Source organism: Homo sapiens, chromosome 7 (assembly GCF_000001405.40).
Source record: "Homo sapiens chromosome 7, GRCh38.p14 Primary Assembly".
NCBI lineage: Eukaryota > Metazoa > Chordata > Mammalia > Primates > Hominidae > Homo > Homo sapiens.
In genome coordinates, this window is record NC_000007.14 from 131,433,967 (window position 1) to 131,455,454 (window position 21,488).

At 35.0% G+C, this 21,488-nt stretch overlaps 1 protein-coding gene across 7 annotated transcripts in view, besides 1 other annotated feature; it reads left to right on the top strand.

Moving 5' to 3' along the window:
- Positions 1-21,488, top strand: part of MKLN1 (muskelin 1) — a 386,539-nt gene that overhangs the window by 323,873 nt on the left and 41,178 nt on the right. For 6 of the 7 annotated variants that reach the window (NM_001145354.2, XM_047420401.1, NM_001321316.2 and 3 more), the window contains 3 exons: positions 3,819-4,031; positions 9,515-9,736; positions 11,808-11,937. In NM_001145354.2, coding sequence (NP_001138826.1) covers positions 3,819-4,031; positions 9,515-9,736; positions 11,808-11,937 — 565 coding nt within the window. The remainder of the gene's footprint in view (positions 1-3,818; positions 4,032-9,514; positions 9,737-11,807; positions 11,938-21,488) is intronic. The other variant, XM_011516224.4, reaches the window with a different exon arrangement.
- Positions 5,035-5,536: an enhancer, noted in NCBI's record as "NANOG hESC enhancer chr7:131123760-131124261 (GRCh37/hg19 assembly coordinates)". NCBI's record gives its function as "activates a minimal SCP1, AML or CMV promoter by ChIP-STARR-seq in primed H9 embryonic stem cells {active_cell/tissue: H9 hESC(primed)}" and the evidence as "EXISTENCE:reporter gene assay evidence [ECO:0000049][PMID:30033119]".

Genomic DNA, 21,488 nt, shown 5'->3' on the forward strand with positions numbered 1-21,488 from the left:
CCCTTCTCCCAGGTTCAAGTGATTCTCCTACCTCAGCCTCCCGAGTAGCTGAGACTACACCGAGTAGCTGAGACCCACCTGGCTAATTTTTGTATTTTTAGTAGAGATGAGGTTTCACCATGTTGGCCAGGCTGGTCTCGAAATCCTGACCTCAGGTGATCCACCCACCTCAACTTCTCAAAGTGCTGGGATTACAGGCATGAGCCACTGCACCTGGCTGCAAATTGGTGTTTTAATGATATTGAATCTTTCTACACCATGAACATGGTTTAGTCTCCATTTATTTTAGTCTTCATTATCTCTCAGCACTCTTAAGAGTTTTCAGTTTAAGAGGTCTATGATATTTTCGTTAACTTGATATCAGTGTATTTTGCTTTTTGTGCTATTATAATGGAATTTAAAAATCTTTTACTTTCCATTTGTTGGCTGGTAATATAGAGAAATACAATTGGTTTGTTAATATTGCCTTTGTATCATGTCACTTTAAGTCTACTTATTTCTAATAGCTTCTTTTTTATTTCTTAGAGTATTTTAAAGAAGCAGTCATTTTTCTTCTTTCTGTTCTCTTTTCCTTCATTATTTTATTTTATTTTTTGTTTATTTGTTTGAGACAGAGTCTTTCTGTTGCCCATGCTGGAGTGCAGTGACATGATCATGGCTTGCTGCAGCCTCGACCTTCTGGGCTCAAGCAATCCTTCTACCTCAGTCTCCCCAGTAGCTGGGACCACAGGCGCGTGCCTCCATGCCCAGCTAATTTTTAAATTATGTGTAGAGATAGGATCTCTGTATGTTGAACATGCAGAGGAGTCTTGAACTCCTTAACTCAACGAATCCTCCCACCTTGGCCTCCCAAAGTGATGGGGTTACAGGCATGAGCCACCAGGCCCAGCCTTTATTTTATTTTTTAATGCCTTCCTTATTGCACTGACTTGAACTTCCAGAGCAATGTTAAATATAAGTGGTGAGAAAAGACATCCCTGTCTTGTTTCATATCTAAACAGGAGAGTGTTCAGTATGTCATCATTAAGAAAAATTAAATTTCGTACATGTTATCAGATTGAAAGTCTTTCTATTCCTATTTTGCTATGAGTTTTGATCATGAATAGGTGATGAATTTTACCAAATGCTCTTTTTACATATGTATTGATGTAATTGTGTTTTTTCTTCTTTATTCTGTTAATATGTCAGATTATCCTGATTGATTTTCAGATGTAAAATCAACTTTACATTCCTGGGATAAATACCTTTTTGTTGTAAAATATTCTTTTCATATATTGCTACTGCTGTTTGGTAATATTTTGTTAAAGATTAGTTTTGTCTATGTTCATAAGGGGTCCTAGCCATCTGTAAATGATTTCTCCACCTCTTCCCCATTTCTTCCTCCTTCTTCCCCTTCTCTTCCTTCTCCTTTGTAATATTATTTGGTTTCAGTGTTATGTTGGCCTCATAAAATAAGCTAGGAATGGAAGAGAATGTGGATAAACAGTAGAGTTTTTTTTTCCCTTGATTTTCTGAAAAATTTTGTCTAAAACTGATACCATTTTTTCCTTAAGTGCTTGATATAATTTACCAGTGTAGATATGTGGGCAATTATGAATTCAGTTTTTCAGTATGTGTAATTCCTTCAGATTTTCCTCTTTCATCTCATGTCATCTTGGTAAGTTAGGTTTTTTAACAAATTATGTCTGTTTTATCTACATTGTCAGATTTTACCTATGTTTTTGATAGTATTCTCTCTCTTTTCATTTCTAGGAAGTCTGTAGTGTTAATCTTGCTTTCATTTCTGGTACTGGCAATTTGTATTTTCCCTCCCTTTGTAAAAAATTAGTCTGCCAGTGGTTTATAATTCTATCAGTCTTTCAAAGAACCAACTTTGTTAATTTTCTCTATTTTTTTTCATGTTTTCTATTCTATTGATTTATCTTTATTTCTTTTTTCTTGGCATATAACTTGGTCATCATTTTAATATTATTTGTGCTAATTTAGTTGAAGCAAGAAGTTCTATTATTCTCTTATTAAAATTTCAAGTTTTACACTCTATGCATTATGGCATAGATTTATTATATGTTACTCCGTCTTTGTTTTTGAGATTATTTATGGAGGCAATCCTTTCTTAAATCAAATTTTCACCTTATTTGCTGAAGATATTCTTTGACAAAAAATATTTTAAAATAAGTTTGAAAATAATTAGTGTGAATATTAAAGTGTACATTCACATCAACTTCATTGTCAAAATACTGTTCTTCCTGCCTAATATTCCTTCATTTCACTTAATTAATACTGCTAGATTACTCTTCTTAGAATACTGCCTTTTTATGTTATATCTTGCTTTAGAAACCACCAGTAGTTCTTTATTGCCTACAAGATCATAAATTGTCTCCTCTGTCAGTCATTCATCAGGCTTTCTGTGTCCACTTTATACATCAATTCTGTTATTTCTGCAGGAAGAACTCTTCATCTCAGTCATAACTGCATAGACTGTATTAACAAGTATATTTTTGCCTTTGTTTTTCTTCTAGAAAAAATAATCTGAAATTGTGAAAGAGCCCAGTTTTTGGCTCTGGTACACAAGGGCGTAGATTTGCTATCTTACTTCCTAGTTTTGTGACGGTGGACTCTGTGAAATGGTGATAATATTTCCATATGGGGTTGTTATAAGGATTAAATGGAACACACACATACACAGTAATAGTGTAAACAGAACTTGGGAGTTGTTTAACAAACATTAGTTTCCTTTCCTTTCCCCCTTTCAGCTAATTAAACCCTATGCAATTGAAGTTCTTTTTCCCCGATGAACCCTTTTGACTATACTACAATATTTTTTATGTTTTATTGGGTCCTGTGATACAAGTGATACCAGCTAATTAATTTATTGATAATATACTGTTCTTAATATTATTCCCTATTTATTTACTGTAGCTGTGCTATTTATTCAATCAGGAAAATTAATTTTGCAATGTAAAGGATGGATAAAGAAGTGATAGACTTGGATTCTTATTAGTTTCTGTCACTAGCTTATTAAAGGTATCATCCTGGTCTTATATTTCCTTGCTAGGCTTGTATTTTCTCCTCTTTAAAAGGAGAAAACTAGAGATTTTATTTTTTTTATTTTTTATTTTTATTATACTCTTAAGTTCTAGGGTACCTGTGCACAATGTGAAGGTTTGATAGATAGGTATACATGTGCCATGTTGGTTTGCTGCACCCATCAACTCATCATTTACATTAGGTATTTCTCCTAATGCTATCCCTCCCCCTGACCCCCACCCCTCGACAGTCCCTGGTGTGTGATGTTCCCTGCCCTGTGTCCAAGTGATTAAACTAGAGATTTTATTGATGTTTCTTCTAATTTTGAAATTCACTGATTCTAAATATTCTTGGAGTACCTCTTTTGTGCTAGATTCTGATGAGAAATACAAAAATGTTCATAAAGACCAAACATGTCTTAAAGTAGATTGTCATGTAATAGAGAATTGAACTCTGCACAAATGACTAAAATGCAGTGCAGTATATGGTAGAAACCGTATAGATGTTATAAACAGAGTGCCATAAGCTGCAGTGTAGTTCATCTCATCTTTCCTGGTAGATTTTAAGCATTTCTAAGGTAAGATTTCTGTCTCCTACTGCTTACTGCTTTTGCTTTCCTTTAGAGAGTTAAGCCTAGTGTTGGACTCATATTGGTTGACTTGATGTGAGTTTCTGAGAAACCTTTTAATGAAAGGTAATAAAAAATGACGTTTAATTTTTCTATTATTTGTTCTTTGATTTTTTTTTGCTCTTTATTTGTTTATTTATTTATTTTCTCTCTCTCTCTACAGAATGGTCCTAGTGCCAGATCGTGTCATAAAATGTGCATTGATATTCAACGGAGGCAAATCTACACATTGGGGCGTTACTTGGATTCCTCTGTGAGGAACAGCAAATCTCTGAAAAGTGACTTCTATCGTTATGACATTGATACAAACACATGGATGTTACTAAGTGAGGATACTGCTGCTGATGGAGGGCCGAAATTGGTGTTTGATCATCAGGTTTGATGCACAGTTAAATATATGATGGAATTAATCAGTGCTTAGTGATTCTTGCAATTAGAGTTTATGTTAGATGTTATGCTGAGTTGTCCAGTAGTGCTTTCCATGACAAATATCTATTGACAGTAATAATTGTTGTTTCAGTAGGTATAAAGTTATTCTTTAAATTTTTTTCTCTTGTTTGTTGCAGGGTAGAATATGAAGATCTCAGGACATAGACTGTTGATTTATAGAAACTTTAGCGAGTAGATGGAGCAATATTAGGAAAAACAAATTTAGTTTTATAATACATATGCATAAATCAACAATAACAACTTACCCTTTTAATTATATTTCTTATTCTACATTCCTGTGAGAAATGGAAATCACTTTATAATGAACTAGGTGAAATCTAGAGCTTTTCTTCCAGTTAGAGTGAAATATATTTTGTTTTGTTTATAGTCACAAAATTGTATAAACCTAGAGGGGAATTTGACATACTAGATTAAACTCAGCACCAATAGAAATTATACAATAATGTTGTAGACTAGAAGACTGAACATAGCCTCATTGTAAGCCATTTTAATATTAATATACATGTAGCTCTCATTAGCCCCATCATTGTCATTATCATTGTTACCTGTCTTTGAATACTTATTCCATACAAATTCAATGTAGGTCAAAAAAGACAGTAACCATTTTGAATTCCATAAGCAAGTTTTTACCTGGCTCAACCCATGTCCAAAGTTTTTTTTGATGTATTGAGGAGAAAAAGACTTCAAAAATCTATAACTCTGTATTGATGAACATAAATTATCTAGTATTTGGGAAATGGGAGGTGGTGCTAGAATTATGACAAAACTTAAGTGAGACCTAAAATCTTATCTAGGACATAGAACCCAGGGTCTTTATTTATTGTGTCTTTATAGATTTTTGTTAATTATTTGCTTTTAAACTATCCTATTGCCATATTTCTATTAACATATAATTGTTATAGGAGAATGGTAAGGAGAGGAAGAGTGAGTTATGCCTGTGAAGTTAAGTGGTAGGTAGAAAATCAAAACTAGTATTCTTGGAAATACTCCCCAGCTTAAATTTGGAACTTCTGTTGGCTCTATTTAACTGAGCTCCACAGAGCTATGCACATCCCTGCTGACACCCTCAATGTTCTTCACGTGGAAAATAAGCATGCCAAGAAAAGTTAGGCTGGTTCTGATCTTTTAAAAACATCAGCAGATAATATTGTTAGGGAACAATTTATTCTCTTGTTCCCAAATGGTTACGTATTTCTTTTACAAAAGATGCTGATGTCTTTTTTTTTTTACAGGTTGAAAAAAGAATAGCTTAGGAGTAGCACATAGAGAGTTCTTGTGTGTGGCCTTTGTTTCTCTTGACTTTTATAAAATAGGATGTTTCTTGAAAGCTGGGTGCTGTTAAATAATGCATGGTTTTCAACTGGTTAGATGGTACAGCAGAACACTGGGGGTGAAGAAACAAGGATTTCAGTACTAATTCAGCCAACAACTATCCCTGTAATAGTGAGCAAGTAATCTGTATAATCCTGCATTTGCTATTCTATTTCATACAAATAAAGCTATAAGTTAGAACTTACACTTGTAGTGTTTATGACACTCCAAAAATAGCTTGTGGTGTTCATGACAATTTAGGATTTAACACAATGTTCAAATTTGATAAAAATATGAGAAAGCTATACGATACAAACATGCTTAAAAGCTATTTGCCATTTTTAATTTTAACATATTTAAAAAATAAAATTTAAAGACATCTGGATTTCTTAAGAACATAGTGGCGGTTTAGTTCTCAAGCTTTCCTTGATGTTGCTTTGTGTGGTTTTCCAGGAATAATGGTAATCAAGCAAAAAGATTTAAACACACACACACACACACACACACACACACACACACACACACACACACACACAGTCTCTCTCTCTCAGCAAAACCAAGAGCTAGAGTAAACCTATAACTCCCAATGCCTTGTAAGTTTAGCCAGAAACAACTAAAATACTCAGAACTTTTGTTGAAGCCCACAACAGTATAATAGGGAGACCTGGGAAAGCAAAGGGAGCCTAGCAGTTGTATGTCACAGTGAGAAGTGTCAGGGACAGGGCACAAATTGCACCCAGGGCAGCCACTAGAAGAATCAGTGAATTAACATGTGTAAAGTACCCAGAAATATCCAGAGGTGATATGTGTCAGAAAGCATTATTTTGTAAAAGTGAAGGAAACACAGTGGGAATGATGGCTCCTTTTGCAATGGCCAGTAAGAAACCTGGGGAGCTCAAAGCTTGAGATCAGCCCTGTAAGCCAGATGAGAGTCATAGAATTAGAGAAGGTATGGCTTCACCGGAAGTGCCATATTTTGAAGGAGCCATTCAATTCAGTAGCAACAGAGGAAGGAGTTCTTGAGCGAGAACATCCACCTTCTATAGAAATCCTCTGTGAAGTTATCTGGTCCAGGGAAATTCAACTCAATTACATATGAAAAACTAAAAAGCAATAAATAACAAAGCTTTAGAGAGACATTCTAAAGAAAAACAATAAAAAGAAAAATAACAATAAATGAAAGTTATATCCCAGTACATTACCCCTTTCAGAAATGAAGACTTATCTACAAAGAGCGTAAAGAAGAATAGGTAATGATCATATAGCATAGGAATAAGATAAAACAAAGAGGTAAAAATGATTAACCAGGGAAGGTAGGCAGAGGAGAGCCAACATATATATATATAACTGGAGACTTTAAAGAAGAAAGCCAAAACAATGGAAAAAACAAATATTTATCAATTGAATTCAGGAACATTTTCCTGAAGAAAGATTTTACTCCGCATGTCAAATGGGCATACTATATTCAGAAAAAGTTGACCCAAATACTTAACTCTAAGACATATATTAATAACACTGACTATAAAAGATAAGAGATCATTTTATAGCAAGTAGACAAAATGATCAAGTCACCTATAAGAGAACTAAAATGAGACTGGTATCAGATTTCTCTACATCTACTTTCAGTGCCAAGAGATAATAGAGCAACATCTAGAAGACATTCAAGAAAAGACAGTATGAGCCAAGAATTTTATATCTAGCCAAACTGTCCTTCAAGTATAATCAGTTTTTGTGGAAATTACTAGAAAATGGAAAGTGAGCTAGCCAAGAAGTAGCAGGAAAAACTTCAGTTGAAGAATTGAAGATCTCAGCTCATTGATATTCTCACTGGGTCATGAGGCATTTTTGGAGGTTTGTAGAAGGGAGGGTGGTAGGTTGGACAACATTGGATACTTAGAAGCCTTTATAGCAATATCTTCAAATTTTGTGAGGAGAAGATTATTTTGAACCCAGCCAAACCCTTACCAATCTTGTATTCCTGTGATGAGTAAAATAAAGTCATTTTCAGGTTCAAAAAATAATTTTTCCCAGGAAAATAAGTGGTTATCCACTATTTTGATTTTAAAAATTAAATATCTAACTCCTGACATAATAAATGAATAGTCTTTAAACTTTTGGCTTTAAAGATTTTTTTAAGTCTTTGATGGAAAAGACATTATCACACAGAGTTTAATAAGTTTACTAGCTTTTCAGAAATTTTTTCGGAGAGTAAAAATGACAAAACAAATCAAAAGCGTGGAAATCGAATATTAAAAGGTTTCTTGGTTTAAACTGGTATGCTAGGAAGAACTACCAAGATAAAGATGTTTATACTTCAGCCCTGCAAACAAATGAGAATAAACCACATCAAAATTAAGCTTGAATATTCTCAAAAAGAAAGAAACTCTTTGTAGCCATACGAAGTAGAAAGGTAGGGGGTTGGTAACAAAGATTGGCCATTAGTATGAATCTGTGAGTTAATAAAAAATGGAAATAGACTCATTTAATGTGAGTCCCTAAAGATTTTCAGCATAGTTCCCAGATATTTGGAGTGATTGAGTCTGAAGTACTTCAGAAACGGAAATGTGACCCAGCTCCAGTGGAGCCCTCAACGGAGGCAGTGGATGGGGCCAAACTGAGTTGTTTTCAGCAGTGTGCTGATTTTAACTGTATGATCATTTTAAAAAATAGGAATACTTCCAGACATCTTTGTTTTTCAACCATGTTTACCAAGATTTCACCCTTGGGGAATAGATTTTCATCTTAATTTATGGAAGTCTTTGAGAAACCTGGGAAATGGCTAATGAGGTAGATCTTTTTAGTGGTAGATAAAAATTAGGAGATGTTAGAATCTTTTTAATAATAACTACAGTTTTTTAAAACAACATTTAAAATTATGAAAATAGCCAGGCACGGTGGCTCATGCCTGTAATCCCAGCACTTTGGGAGGCCGAGGCAGGCGGATCACCTGAGGTCGAGAGTTCAAGACCAGCCTGACCAACATGGAGTAACACCATCTCTACTAAAAATACAAAATTATCCTGGCGTGGTGGCATATGCTGGTAATCCCAGCTACCCGGGAGGCTGAGGCAGGAGAATTGCTTGAACCTGGGAGGCAGAGGTTGTGGTGAGCCAAGCTCATGCTGTTGCACTCTAGCCTGGGCAACAAGAGTGAAATTCTGTCTAGGAAAAAAAAACAAATTATGAAAATAGCCTTTTGTTTAAAAAAATACATAAATAGCAGAAGTAATCTGGTAGGAGAATTGAACATCAAATGGTTGGGTTTTATTTTAGCAAAACATAGATGTTTTGTGTACACAATTTATTCTTTATGTAAATGCCACTTACGTTCAACAGCTAATTCCCAACTTGGATTTATGTGTTATTTGAAACAGAATTTGATTCTTATTGTCTCGTGACAAATGGCTGTTTTCTCACACATTTTTATGAAAAGTTATAATCTTGAGTTGAAAGAATGGAAGAATAAAGCTTGACTTTTAAACATGAAGTGTATAGCTTAATTCAAAGAAAATTAAATAGTGCTATGTTAAAAGTAGGCAGAGTTCTTCACATTGTAGAAGTCAGTCTGGAGACTTGATTGTTGTAAATGTCCTTTTGTTTGTTTGTTTTACTGTTTTGTAACATAATCTGAAGGGTTTTATAAAAATAAATGCAGAGAGGTGAATTTAGCTTCACCACTCTTATTTGCATATCTGATCGCTTAGTAAATGGTAGTAATATTAATAGGATGCTTGCCTAGAATGAAAGAAGGGAATTTTTATAAGGAGGGTATGATCACTATTCACCCAGAATATAAGTATTCACTCTTACATATAAATCAACGCCTCATGTATCATTGGTTGATTTTGATAAAAATTATGCAATTTCAAGAAAGCAGAAAGCTCTTTATTCCAACATGTTTTTACCCTCACTGACAAAAATGACAACTTGAAAAATTATTTAGAAACTTGCATATGATAATCAGGGGTGGTATTTAGTGTCATTAGGGACAAAGTTTAGGGTTTTTTTGAGAATGTAAAACTGTACATGTTGGTTTTGTTTTAGCACATATGACAGGAACAAACTAAAACTATTCAATCTGTTGCCTTGTTCTGATAGATGTGTATGGACTCAGAAAAACATATGATCTACACTTTTGGTGGTAGAATTTTGACTTGTAATGGCAGCGTAGATGACAGCAGAGCCAGTGAACCACAATTCAGTGGCTTGTTTGCTTTCAACTGTCAATGTCAAACCTGGAAACTTCTTCGAGAGGACTCCTGTAATGCTGGGCCTGAGGACATCCAGTCTCGAATAGGACACTGCATGTTATTCCACTCAGTAAGAACATTCCGTACATTGCGTAAATGTTATTTTGTCATGTATATCTAGATAGGAAAAGAAGTGGTGAAATCTAATTCTTTAGGAAGAGATTAGTGTAGCAATGACAGAGAAAGACAAAACTTCTTTAACAGTGAACTGTTTGCTAATTATGAGACTCTTCCCATCAACCTGGTAATTCCTAAATAGTTACTACCTGGCTACCAACCTGGGCAATCTTATGACTAATTTCACTGCTTATGTAGATTTTGTAGCTATGTTCCTTTCTTATGCCTTTCCACTTACGTCTCTTAGTAATTAGAAGGACAATTTCTTACTCTGTTCTTATTTTCCCTTCTGCTATTCTCCATTAAGTACAAAGAATTTAAGATTTGATTTTATAGAATTAGAATTTAAATGTATCAGCAATGGTCAGGAGCAGTGGATCACTTGATTCCAGAAGTTTGAGACGAGCCTGGCCAACATGGCGAAACCCCATCCCCAGTAAAAATACAAAAATTAGCCTGGCGTGGTGACCTGTGCCTGTAGTCCCAGCCTCCCAAGTAGCTGGGATTACAGGCATGCACCACCACGCCCGGCTAATTTTTTGTATTTAGTAAAGACAGGGTTTCACCATGTTGGCCAGGCTGGTCTTGAACTCCTGACCTCAGGTGATCCACCCGCCTCTGCCTTCTGCGGTGTTGGGATTACAGGCATGAGCCACTGTACCTGGCCACTTTCTTGATGCTCAAATTTTTCTCTTTGGCTAGTAGGAGCACCCCCCACAACATATTTATGTATCTTTTTTTGTAAGAGAAAAATTAAATTGTGAATTCATACTGATATGTCTGATTCAAATAAAATATTTTTTATCTTAATGTCTTCTATTTTGTAACTTTATATCTTTTCTTTTTACCCCGACTGGAGCGCAGATCGTAGCTCACTACAGCCTTGAATGTCAGGGCTCAAATGATCCTCTCACCTTAGCCCCCCAAGTAGCTAAAACTACAGGTGTGTACCACCACACCTGGGTTTTGAGTAGTAGTAGTAGTAGTAGTAGTAGTAGTAGTAGTAGTAGAAGAAGTAGTAGTAGTAGTAGTAGTAGTAGTAGTAGTAGTAGTAGTAGTAGTAGTAGTAGTAGAAGTGGAAGTGGAAGTGGAAGTAGGAGACAGGGCCTTGCTGTGTTGCCCAGGCTGTCTCAAGCAATCCTCTCACCTTGGCCTGCCCAAATGCTAGGACTACAGGTGTGAGCCACCATGCCTGGCCTATTTTTGTGTCTTTTAAGGTTAAAATCCTGCTTCATAACATTAGTTGCTTTGTCTGTCTATAATAGCTTTCACAGTAAAGAAAACTAACAACAGAATCACTGAGTGCTGTTTAACGTTGCTTTCTGATTATTTTTCTGTTTAGGATTTAGACTTCTAGGGATGGGTAGTCAAAAAGTATGTATTAAAATCATTAGAAATACTATTTCTGTGTCTGAGTATATCTTTATATACAGATAGGTTTATTTGTTGGATTTTTTTTGCCCAAATTTTAGATTTTTTTTTTGAGTTAATTTTGTCTTCTAATTAAATAAAAGCATATACATTGTTCTAAAGTCAAAACCATACATCAAGGTATTATTTTTGGAGAGGTCTTCCTGCTCTGTTCCTGCCACTATAGGTAACTGTCTTTTATTAGGTTTTGGTTTATCCTTCCTTTGTTTTTCAAAAAAAGAAGCAATCTCTATTCTCGCTCTCGCTTGCGTGCTCTCTCTCTCACTTTTCCCCTCTCTCACATTCTCTTTCCCTCTCTCCCTCTCTTTTTGTCTGATGCACAGATATTCCTTCTTCTCCATTCCTACACAAAGGAAGAAGGAACCTGTATATATTATTCTGCACCTTGCTTTTCTTCTTTAACAGGATGTCCTAGAGATCCCCTTTTAGCAATATGTAGAGAGCTTCCTCTTTCCCTTTTATTCCAGCATAGTACTCCATTGGGATCTGTTATAAAATTACTTTTGTAGAGGTTTAAGTTTTTAAAGGATCATTCTGAGTTCTTCATGGAAGTGATAAGTTACTCCTTTCTTTTTTTTTTTCTTCTTTTTCAGAAAAATCGTTGCTTATATGTATTTGGTGGCCAGCGATCAAAGACCTATTTGAATGATTTCTTTAGTTATGATGTGGACTCTGATCATGTAGACATAATATCAGATGGCACCAAGAAAGACTCTGGGATGGGTAAGGGCATTGAGTGATTTCTTCTCTCATGTCTTAACTACTTTAGGTAGAAAACTGCAGTTCATTCTCTTTTCTTTCTAATCATTTTTCACCCTTTCTTTATTTCTTTAATTGAGTAATTCCAAGTAAGAGAAAGAAAATTCTACCAGCTTATTCAGTTCTATCTATTTTTAAATATGGGAATTACTATTTCCTTCAAGCAGAAAATATGTGAATTTCTAAATGAATTGTGTGTGTGCTTGTTGGGGGGCGGGGTAGGAAGAATCAATATCTTAAAAACTTTTTATTCTGTGTTTGCTAATTTTTTTCATCTTCTATTTTCACTGTAGTGATCTTTATATTAGGCACTAGCATAGTAGGGTGTGTGTCTTAAGGGGGGAACTTCATGGGATTGGTAACACCTTGTAAGTTTAAAAGCTCAGCATCTAGGAGGTTATTAGTAGTGGAATGGCTGGTTTGCTTAGATTATGCATATTGCCCTGGCATAATTATTAATAGTGCTCCATTCATTTTCAAAAGTGTCCTGTTTTGATCATTTATAGTTACCCTACATAGTAGTTGCTTTGCCTGTGATTATTGTACCTAAAAGAGTGGCTTTAATTAAGGTGCAATGGTTTAAAATGCTAATTTGAACAATAGAGTGAGAAATTAAATCAGCTGCTTTTCTTTTTAGCTGTTGCTTATAGATTGGTGTTTTTATTATTGGCTCTTTTGCCAAATGTGGATAAAAGCACTTGTTTCACAGACATTGTTTCTGGATATTTTATTGATTAATACAAGCTTCCTTTAAAACAAAAACAACAAAAATATTTTTAAATTAAAATATTTGTTCACATTTAAGAAGAAAAACTTGTTTTAAAACAAACAAACAAAAAAACAAAAGATAGGCAAGGCACAGTCGCATATGCCTGTAATTCCAGCTAGTCCAGAGACGGACATGGGAGGATTGCTTGAATCTAGGAGTTTAGGACCAGCCTGAGCAACAAAGCAAGACCCTGTCTCTACAAAAAGGAGGTTTCCAGATAAAAGTAGACTCAATAGATATGTTAAGCATTTGGAAGAAAAATCTGTTGATGAGTATAAATAGCATCTAATGTAAAAAACGAAGGATAGGGACACAACAGGAAAAGCGAAACTTTTTATAAAAAAGGAGACATTATCACAGTAAATTTCTTGGCTTTACAGTAAGCAGTATTTCCCTAATCATAATGCAGAACTACAGCCAGTTTAACCAAAAATTGGGATGAAATATAGTGGGAAGATAGTGTAAGTGTAGTAAACATCTTCGTCTATTACAACAGGAAATTAGTAGGTAATGTCTAAAATAGCAGCTTAGCATGTGATTTAGAAATATGGACCTGAATAGGTAATAACATTATTTACCCTATCTAAAATTGTCTTATTTACTCATTTATTTACTGTTGCCATAGGAGAGTGTAGAGCTATATGATTTAATATTTGACTTTCTCTGGCTTTTAAGAGTTATTCTAACTTACCATTAAAATAACTAGGAGGGTCAGGCGCAGTGGCTCATGTCTTTAATCCCAGCACTTTGGGAGGCTAAGGTGAGAGGACTGCTTGAGCCCAGGAGTTTGAGACTAGCCTGGGCAGCATAGTTAGCCCTCATCTCTATAAAATAAAAATAAAATAGCAGGAGAGAGGTAATACTCCTTCTACAATCCTAAGATGGGTCTCCCTGAAAAAGGTAGTGAAGATAGTAATTGATATGACAATATGTTGAAAATTATGGCATGCTGACTCAGTGCTAGACTACGGACACAGTGGATACAAGGCAATCACAGTCTCTCAAAGTGCTTATAATCTAGCTAGTAGGTAATGTATTCCCATGGATAATAATTACTACTCTTTATTTAGACCCTACCATATACCAGAATATCTTTAATTGGTGGTATTATTCTAATGTACAAGATGAAAACAGTTACACAACTACGTAATGACAGAGCTGGGATTTAGAAGTTTGAGTGCAAGGAAGGTGTTTCTGCCATGCTAAACTACTGCCCAAGATTAAAAGAAAAAAGTGGCGGCCACGTGAGGTGGCTTACACCTGTAATCCCAGCAGTTTGGGAGGCCAAGACAGGTGGATCACGAGGTCAGGAGATCGAGACCATCCTGGCTAACGTGGTGAAACCCCATCTATACTAAAAATACAAAAAATTAGCTGGGCGTGGTGGCGGGCGCCTGTAGTCCCAGCTACTCGGGAGGCTGAGGCAGGAGAATGGCGTGAACCCGGGAGGTGGAGCTTGCAGTGAGCCGATATCACGCCACTGCACTCCACCCTGGGCGACAGAGCGAGACTCTGTCTCAAAAAAGAAAAAAAAGTGGCAATGCGTGATAGTGACAGAGAACTAGTAAAATAAAAATTCACCATGACAAGTAGGCTTTAATGACTGTCATTCAAAACAATTTTTTAATGAGTTAAAATTATGTAGTAATGTACAGTATCGACAATTATTCTTCAATCATGGTTATGGCTAGCTTTAGAGCAGTGTGGCAATTATTCTTTTTATTTAATTTTGTTGTGGTCATAAAAGTAAAAATATGCTCATTGTAGAGAATTTGAAAAATAAGATGCAAAAAAGAAAATATGTCAAACTGTCCAGAGATAACTTGTTAAAATTTTGATATATTTCTGTCTAGTCTTTTTAAAACTTATTTATTGTATAAAAGTTGATACAAGTTTGTATTCTATTTTAAAATTTACATTAAATTGTGGGATTTTTTCCATTATTGTGGTTTTATTAATGTGAACTGGAGATGTTATTAGAAAAGACAAATGGATTCATTGTTTGATTACTGCTATAATCAATTTTTCTAAAATCAAAATCACCATTTTTTACTGTGTGTGTTCAGTGTGTAATTGGTTTACACAATTGAATTTTCCCACAATGCAAATAAATTCATTAATAATATTTGTTGACCATCTACTAGCATCTAAGTTTGTCCCTCTCCCTTCCTCCTTCCCTCCCCACTTAGTTCATTGTCTTCTGTAGGCCCAAGATTATTTTAGGCACTTGGGATTCATCTATGGACCTGGAGGATAAGATCCTTTCCCTTAGAGGACTCACATTCTAGTGGAGAGAGACCTGCAGTTGTGTTCTAAGTACTGTGAATAAAATACACTGGATGCCGTGATAATGAATAACAAGGGAAGTCTCATTTAAACAGAGTAGGTTGGGAAACCATCTTTGAGGAGGTAATCTTTAAGATTTAAGATGAAAAGTAGAGAATTAGGAAGAACCATGTGAAGAACTGAGAGAAGAACAAGTACAGAGTTCCCAAAGCAGGAAGGAACCTGGGATGTTCAGAAATAGTGGGACTGGTACGTATTGAGGATTGGAAAAGTTGGTATGAAACTAGGTTAGAGCTACGGAGATAAGAGTCAGAGTATTTAGTGCCTTGTTACAAATGCAAGGAGTTTGGATTTTTTTTCTGAATAAAATAGATTATTCAAAGGTTTAATATCAGTGTCTTGATCTAAGTTTTAACAATACCACTTCTTTGTCTAGGTGTATATTTTCCAAGTGGTTAATTTTGACAATGTTCCTGTGAGTTGCATTGTTCAAAGGCTTGTTTACTGAGGATTTTTATGGCAGGGTTGAGCATCTGGTTAGAATTACTTGGAAAAATTTCCCACCTAAAACTGTTGCAGTTATACTTGGAATTGAGGAACCTCAGTGACTCTGTTAGCACATTAGAGTGAAATGGAAATTATTCTCTTTTTTTCTGTTTTTTTTTCCCCTCATCTCTGCCTCTCTCACTTTCTTCCTTTTCCCTCCTTCCCATTCTTTTTCCCATGTCCCTTTTACTCCTCCCCCAACTTTCTCTCTCCTAGAGGATTCTAATATGCGGCTGGGATTGAGAACCACTGTTCTAGCTCTCCGGAGTCTATTTCAGTCCTTAGTTAACCTTAAGCAAGTTACCTAATGTCTCAGCTTTTGCTTCCACATTTGTAAATGACCCAAATTAGATTTTAAGGAAAATAGCGTCTCTGTCCATGGCTACCCTAGGAGTAGAGATGGGTTAACCCTCTAGTTTCGACTGGTGTTACTGTTGGGTGCCTTAATTTTCACAAGAGGATGTTAATACTGCTACCCTCAGGTTCACTAATCTAGCCAGTTAACATCAAGTCATGCCAATTTTGCCTCATCTTCTCTCTATTCCCATTGCTGCTTCACTATGAACTAGTTTGGGCTAACATCACCTATTTGGCCTCTGTCTCTAGACTTCCTCTCCCTATGTACCCCTCCCTGCAACCCATTCTCCACACTGCAAGCAGGATACAGCTATTCTGTGTTACCAGTAAAGAATAGAACCATATGCCTTAACATTTATAGAGCAGATATTTTTTGGTCACCTACTAGGTGCCAGACAATAAGCTACGCACTAGGAGTACAACTGTGAATGAGGGCCCTATCTTCATGGAGTTATGGTTGTACACAGAGAGGAAAAATAAAGTGACAGCCTTACCTTTAGATTAGTGCTAGTGAAGAAAAGAACATATTTTTAAAAATACAAACCTAGTGGGTTTTCTTCCTCACTTTAAATCTTTTAATGGTTTCTCCCTGCCCTCAGGATTAAGTCTAAACTTAACATAATTCACAGACTCTTTTATGATGTGCCCCATTTTAGTTCTCCAGTCCTAGTCTTGGTGTCTGTACTCTTCTTGCCACCAACTCTGTTTCACGACCACCGAATATTAAATCTTTATAGATAGTGTGTTTTAACTTGCCTTTGAGAGTTGCCCATGCTATTCCTCCTACCTGAATCACTTTCCTCTCCCCTCCAAAATCTAGCTAACTTGTACTGCTTACCTCTCAGATCTTAGCTTGTAGATCGTTGTCGCCCAAAATTCTCTAATGCCTTAAGCCCAGGTTAGAAATATAAAAACATGTGGCTCTAGCCATCATTGTTAACGCAATTCTAGGTATTCATCTGGCTGTAAAATCTTGACTGTGCTTTTCAAAACCTATACAAAGATCAGCTGAAATACACAGACTTGTTCATGATTTCTTAAAGAGCATTCAGTGGTTTCAGTACTCTAGATCTCCTAAAAGTCTTTTACTGAACTAAATTAGACTGTTCAGAAAACCTCACATCAGAACCATGGTATATTATATTGTCCTCCCATAGAATTATTTTACCTCACTTTTAAAAAGTACATTTTTTTCTCTCTTACTAGATTTTTATTGTAAGCAGTGAAAAGTACTTTTAAGAAGGCAGAATACTATTTAAATTCCCACATTTTTAAAATATTCTTAGAAAACACCAATTTTATCCATTATGTAGATGCTCTGTAGCTTATTAATCATTCTGTTGTTTGTTAACTGTTGTTCTAAAGATTTTTTACTACAGTTAATTACTGTAATTTGAGATGGACTTAACATATAATTACTGTGTTTATCTGTGATTCAGTAATGTGGCTTATTTGATTAAAATTATATTTACAATGTGAGTATCAAATGGGATTGTTTGAGCTCATAGAGTAAATTTGTTTGAACTATTGAGATCACCGAGATGGTATAGCTAATAGTAAAATTACTGCTGTTTATATAATTCTGTATTGTCAGATACTATAAAATCTTAAGTTGTTGCTCTTTATAATTATCTGAATGTACCATCTTAGATTTAACATCTGAAGATCTGAAGAAACTTTAATGCTTATTTTTAAACTACAGTGTAACAATTTTATGCTCTCCTCAGAAGAAAATTATAATTTAAATCAATGGATTGGCAGCTGCTTTAAGGGATTTATTAGCATTGTGTCTAATACATACATAATTACATCAAAATTCAGCATATCTAAAACTTGAGTTTATTTCTGAGAAACTTTTGGCAAGTAAGACTGTGAACACAAGGGGTTTAGCAGATTCCCCATATGTAAGCTCTGTATTTAACACTAATTGAAACTTATGTGTAGAAGATGGTCTGTCACACCACCAGAGTTTTGTAGTTTTCTATAGAAACTCAGTCTACTATAGTAAGAGTGCTTTCTCCTGTTCGTATTCATTCAAGGAAGAAGCATATATTGAACCTTCTTCATTTGCCAAATGCTAAGTCAAGTATTGGTAATACTGAGGTCTTACAACCTGATGCTTGTTCTTTAGTAGTTATGTATTTACTTGTTTTGATTTTTAAATTGTGTCCACTCTGTTTTCCCACATCTGCCATTGTTTATTCCATCCTGTTCTAACCATTATAGCAGATTGGTACCATTGAAAGAATAGCAAATTGAGAATCAGAAGACTTGGTCTCTCTTTGTCTGGGTCTGCCACTCATCCCTCTGTAATTCTAGAAAAATTATATAACTTCTCTGAACCTGATTATTCATCTGAAAATGAGGAGATTGGACCAGTTGATCATAAGACCTCATCTAGCTCCAAAATTTTGAAAATTAAATTTCATTCCCTTCTGCTGTTATCAGGCTGTGAAACTAAGATATGAGGGCTATGTGAGTTTACATCTACAGAACTTGATTTATCTATAAATAAATTTTTATGAAAACCTTAAAAGCAAAATCATACTGATTTTCATTTTGGCCCTGGGAATGTGCTTATTGTGCTTACTGACATTTTAAAAAATTAGTATGGTCATAACTCTTTATGTTTCTGATCCTTTTATACTTTTTTTTTTTTTTTTTTTTTTTTTGAGATGGAGTCCCGCCCTGTCGCCAGGCTGGAGTGCAGTGGCACAATCCCGGCTCACTGCAACCTCTGCCTCCCGGGTTCAAGCGATTCTCCTGCCTCAGCCTCCCGAATAGCTGGGATTACAGGCATGCGCCACTACGCCCAGCTAATTTTTGTACTTTTAATAGAGACGGGGTTTCATCATGTTGGCCAGGATGGTCTTGATCTCTTGACCTTGTGATCCGCCCGCCTCGGCCTCCCAAAGTGCTGGGATTACAGGCGTGAGCCACTGCACCCGGCCGATCCTTTTATACTTTTACCAATTAAATGAGTAAAGCCAAACTGGCAACACAGAGAAGACTTTGAAGCTGATGATTTGCTGTCATTAACATAGATTAGTTACTGGACTAGAAAATGGTAGCGCTTATTTTCAACATAATTAGGCTTCATTGCTGTCAGTTTAGTATGTTTTGTATTTGATGTGTCATTATTCAAACAGAGTATCTACTTTTTGCCTCTCAAAATTATTGGTAATAATAACTTTCCCTGATTTCCCCCTTCTACCCTCCCAGGGGTGTTTTTGCTAGTTACAAGCTTACAAGAGTATTTTATATTTTTAGATATGATATTTAGGTTACTTGATAGTAAATGAGAATTAAAGTTCACATGTAAAAACAAACATGCAAGAACACTAACAACAATTTTGAAAGTTAATGAAGTAGTACTGGCACTACCAGATATTTATAAAGCTACAATTTGCCAAAGTACAGACTAATGGGATGAAATAGAGCAGATAGTATAAAAATGTCCCCAAATACATATGAGAATTTAGTATATGGTAAAGTTGGCATTTCCAGTCAGAGAGAAAGAATAGATTAAACAGTATATGACATGGAGACATTGCTTAAGACTTGGCAGTATTTTAAAAAAAAGGAAAATCTGACTCCAGCCTGGGCAACGGCAAGACTCTTTCTCTTTAAATAAGTAAATAAATAAATATGAATAAATGGGAAAATCTGGATCCCTACTTGACTTTTGTACATCAAAGAAAATTCTAGGTGAACTTAAGTTTCATACTTAAGAAATAAAATTATAATTCCAATTATTTTTAATAATCTAGGATTAAGAGAAGACCCTTCTAAACATGCCACAAACCCAGAAATCATAAAGAAAAGGAATGTTTGATTTTTGCAAAATTAAAAAATATAAAAAATTGTTAAAATATCAAATAATGACAAACTAGCAATTAAGACAAAGCTTATTTCCTACAATGAACAAAAGGCTCTTATAAACCAATAAAAGTGGATAATCCTGTAGTAGAACAATGACAAATTATATGAATAGATACTTCGAAGAAAAAATAATTCATATTGCCAGTAAATTTACACATGTACAGATGCTCAGCTTTATTCATAACTTTTAAGTGTAAATTAAAAAATCACTCAGTGAATGTTGGTATGGCCATGAGGAAGCAGGTGTCTTACATTCTGGTTGAAATGTATTTGGTACAGCCTTTTTTTTTTTTTTTAACAGTACTTTATCATTATCTGTTAAAATACAAAAAATATATTTTTTTGACTAAGCATTTTACTCCACGAACTTTTCCTACTCATATACTTTTATAGATCCACAAAAAATAAGCTATACAGAGATATTTATTGTAGTATTGTATGCAAGGAGAAAAAATCTGAAGACGGATTGACCATCAACTTATTTGATTTTTATTTATTTGATTGTCCACCAGTAAATAAATTGGTTGATCCATTCAAAGAGTTCAGTTTTTTATAGCTTAATACAGCTGAGATAAATCAGTAAATATTGTTGAGTGTCAAAAGCTAGTTGCAAATTTACAAAAAATAAATGATGAGTGGTAGAAAGATTCAAGTAAAATAATAGAAGTTAGTTCTGAACTGGAGTTGTTGCTAGTGCTTAATAGGGCCCCATCCAACATTTAAAATGTCCCAACTTTCAAAGAGAAGGATGTGGCAGACACTGTTGTTTGCTTTCCCAAAAGTCATTGGCCCTTTCTTCTGTTAACCAAACCATAATTTTGTTTAATGGCAAGTTGCCTAACCCCAGGGCATGAATGGTTAATCATGATTAGTCTAAACCAGTCATTATTATCCTTTGGCAAATTATTTCACTTTACCTTCCTCCCATGTGACACAATTCTGGCCAATGAGACATAAAGAAAGTCTACTGGAGGACATTTGACAAAAATGTCTTCCCTGATGACAGTAGAGAGATGCTGAAAGAATTCTTTGCCTCCCTGCTTTGGGTGCTCTATATAAGGATGTGATGCTTAGAGTTGGTATTGGCAAGTTTCAAAAATGAGAAGGCGGCCAAGAAAATTGCAGAAAGTTAACCTAGCACCATGATTTGGTTGAACTCTGAAACAATCTTGGAGCTGTCTACTTGCAAAATTTTGTTACATGAGCTAATTAATCTACTGTTAGTTAGGTTTTCTGTTACTTGGAGCTGAAAATATCCTAACAAATAGTGAATTTGTGGAAAGCTATTTTTTATTAGATTCTGTATTTCTGTGACAGCTCTGAAAACTGTTCTTTTCCTTTGTCTTAGCTAATCAGTAATGAATATGTGCATTGGACCGTGAAGCAAAAATAGAGTTGAGATTAATTCATAAGTTAATGCAATAACATATCTTCCTCAGGAATTCAAAGGACTTCGAAAATATTTGTTAACTTTTTTTTTATCCCCCCTCCCACAGGGTTTCTTTATGTTAAATATTCTGACAATCTCTCCCATTTGCTTAGAGGATAAACCAAGGAAGGAAGAGAAAAGATGTGATTCAGACATATAGATAAAATTTTTTTACTTCCCCTTTAGCTGTTCTATTTTGAGTTTTAAAGATGTTAAAGAAGAAATAGAGTTGAAGGATTATCATTG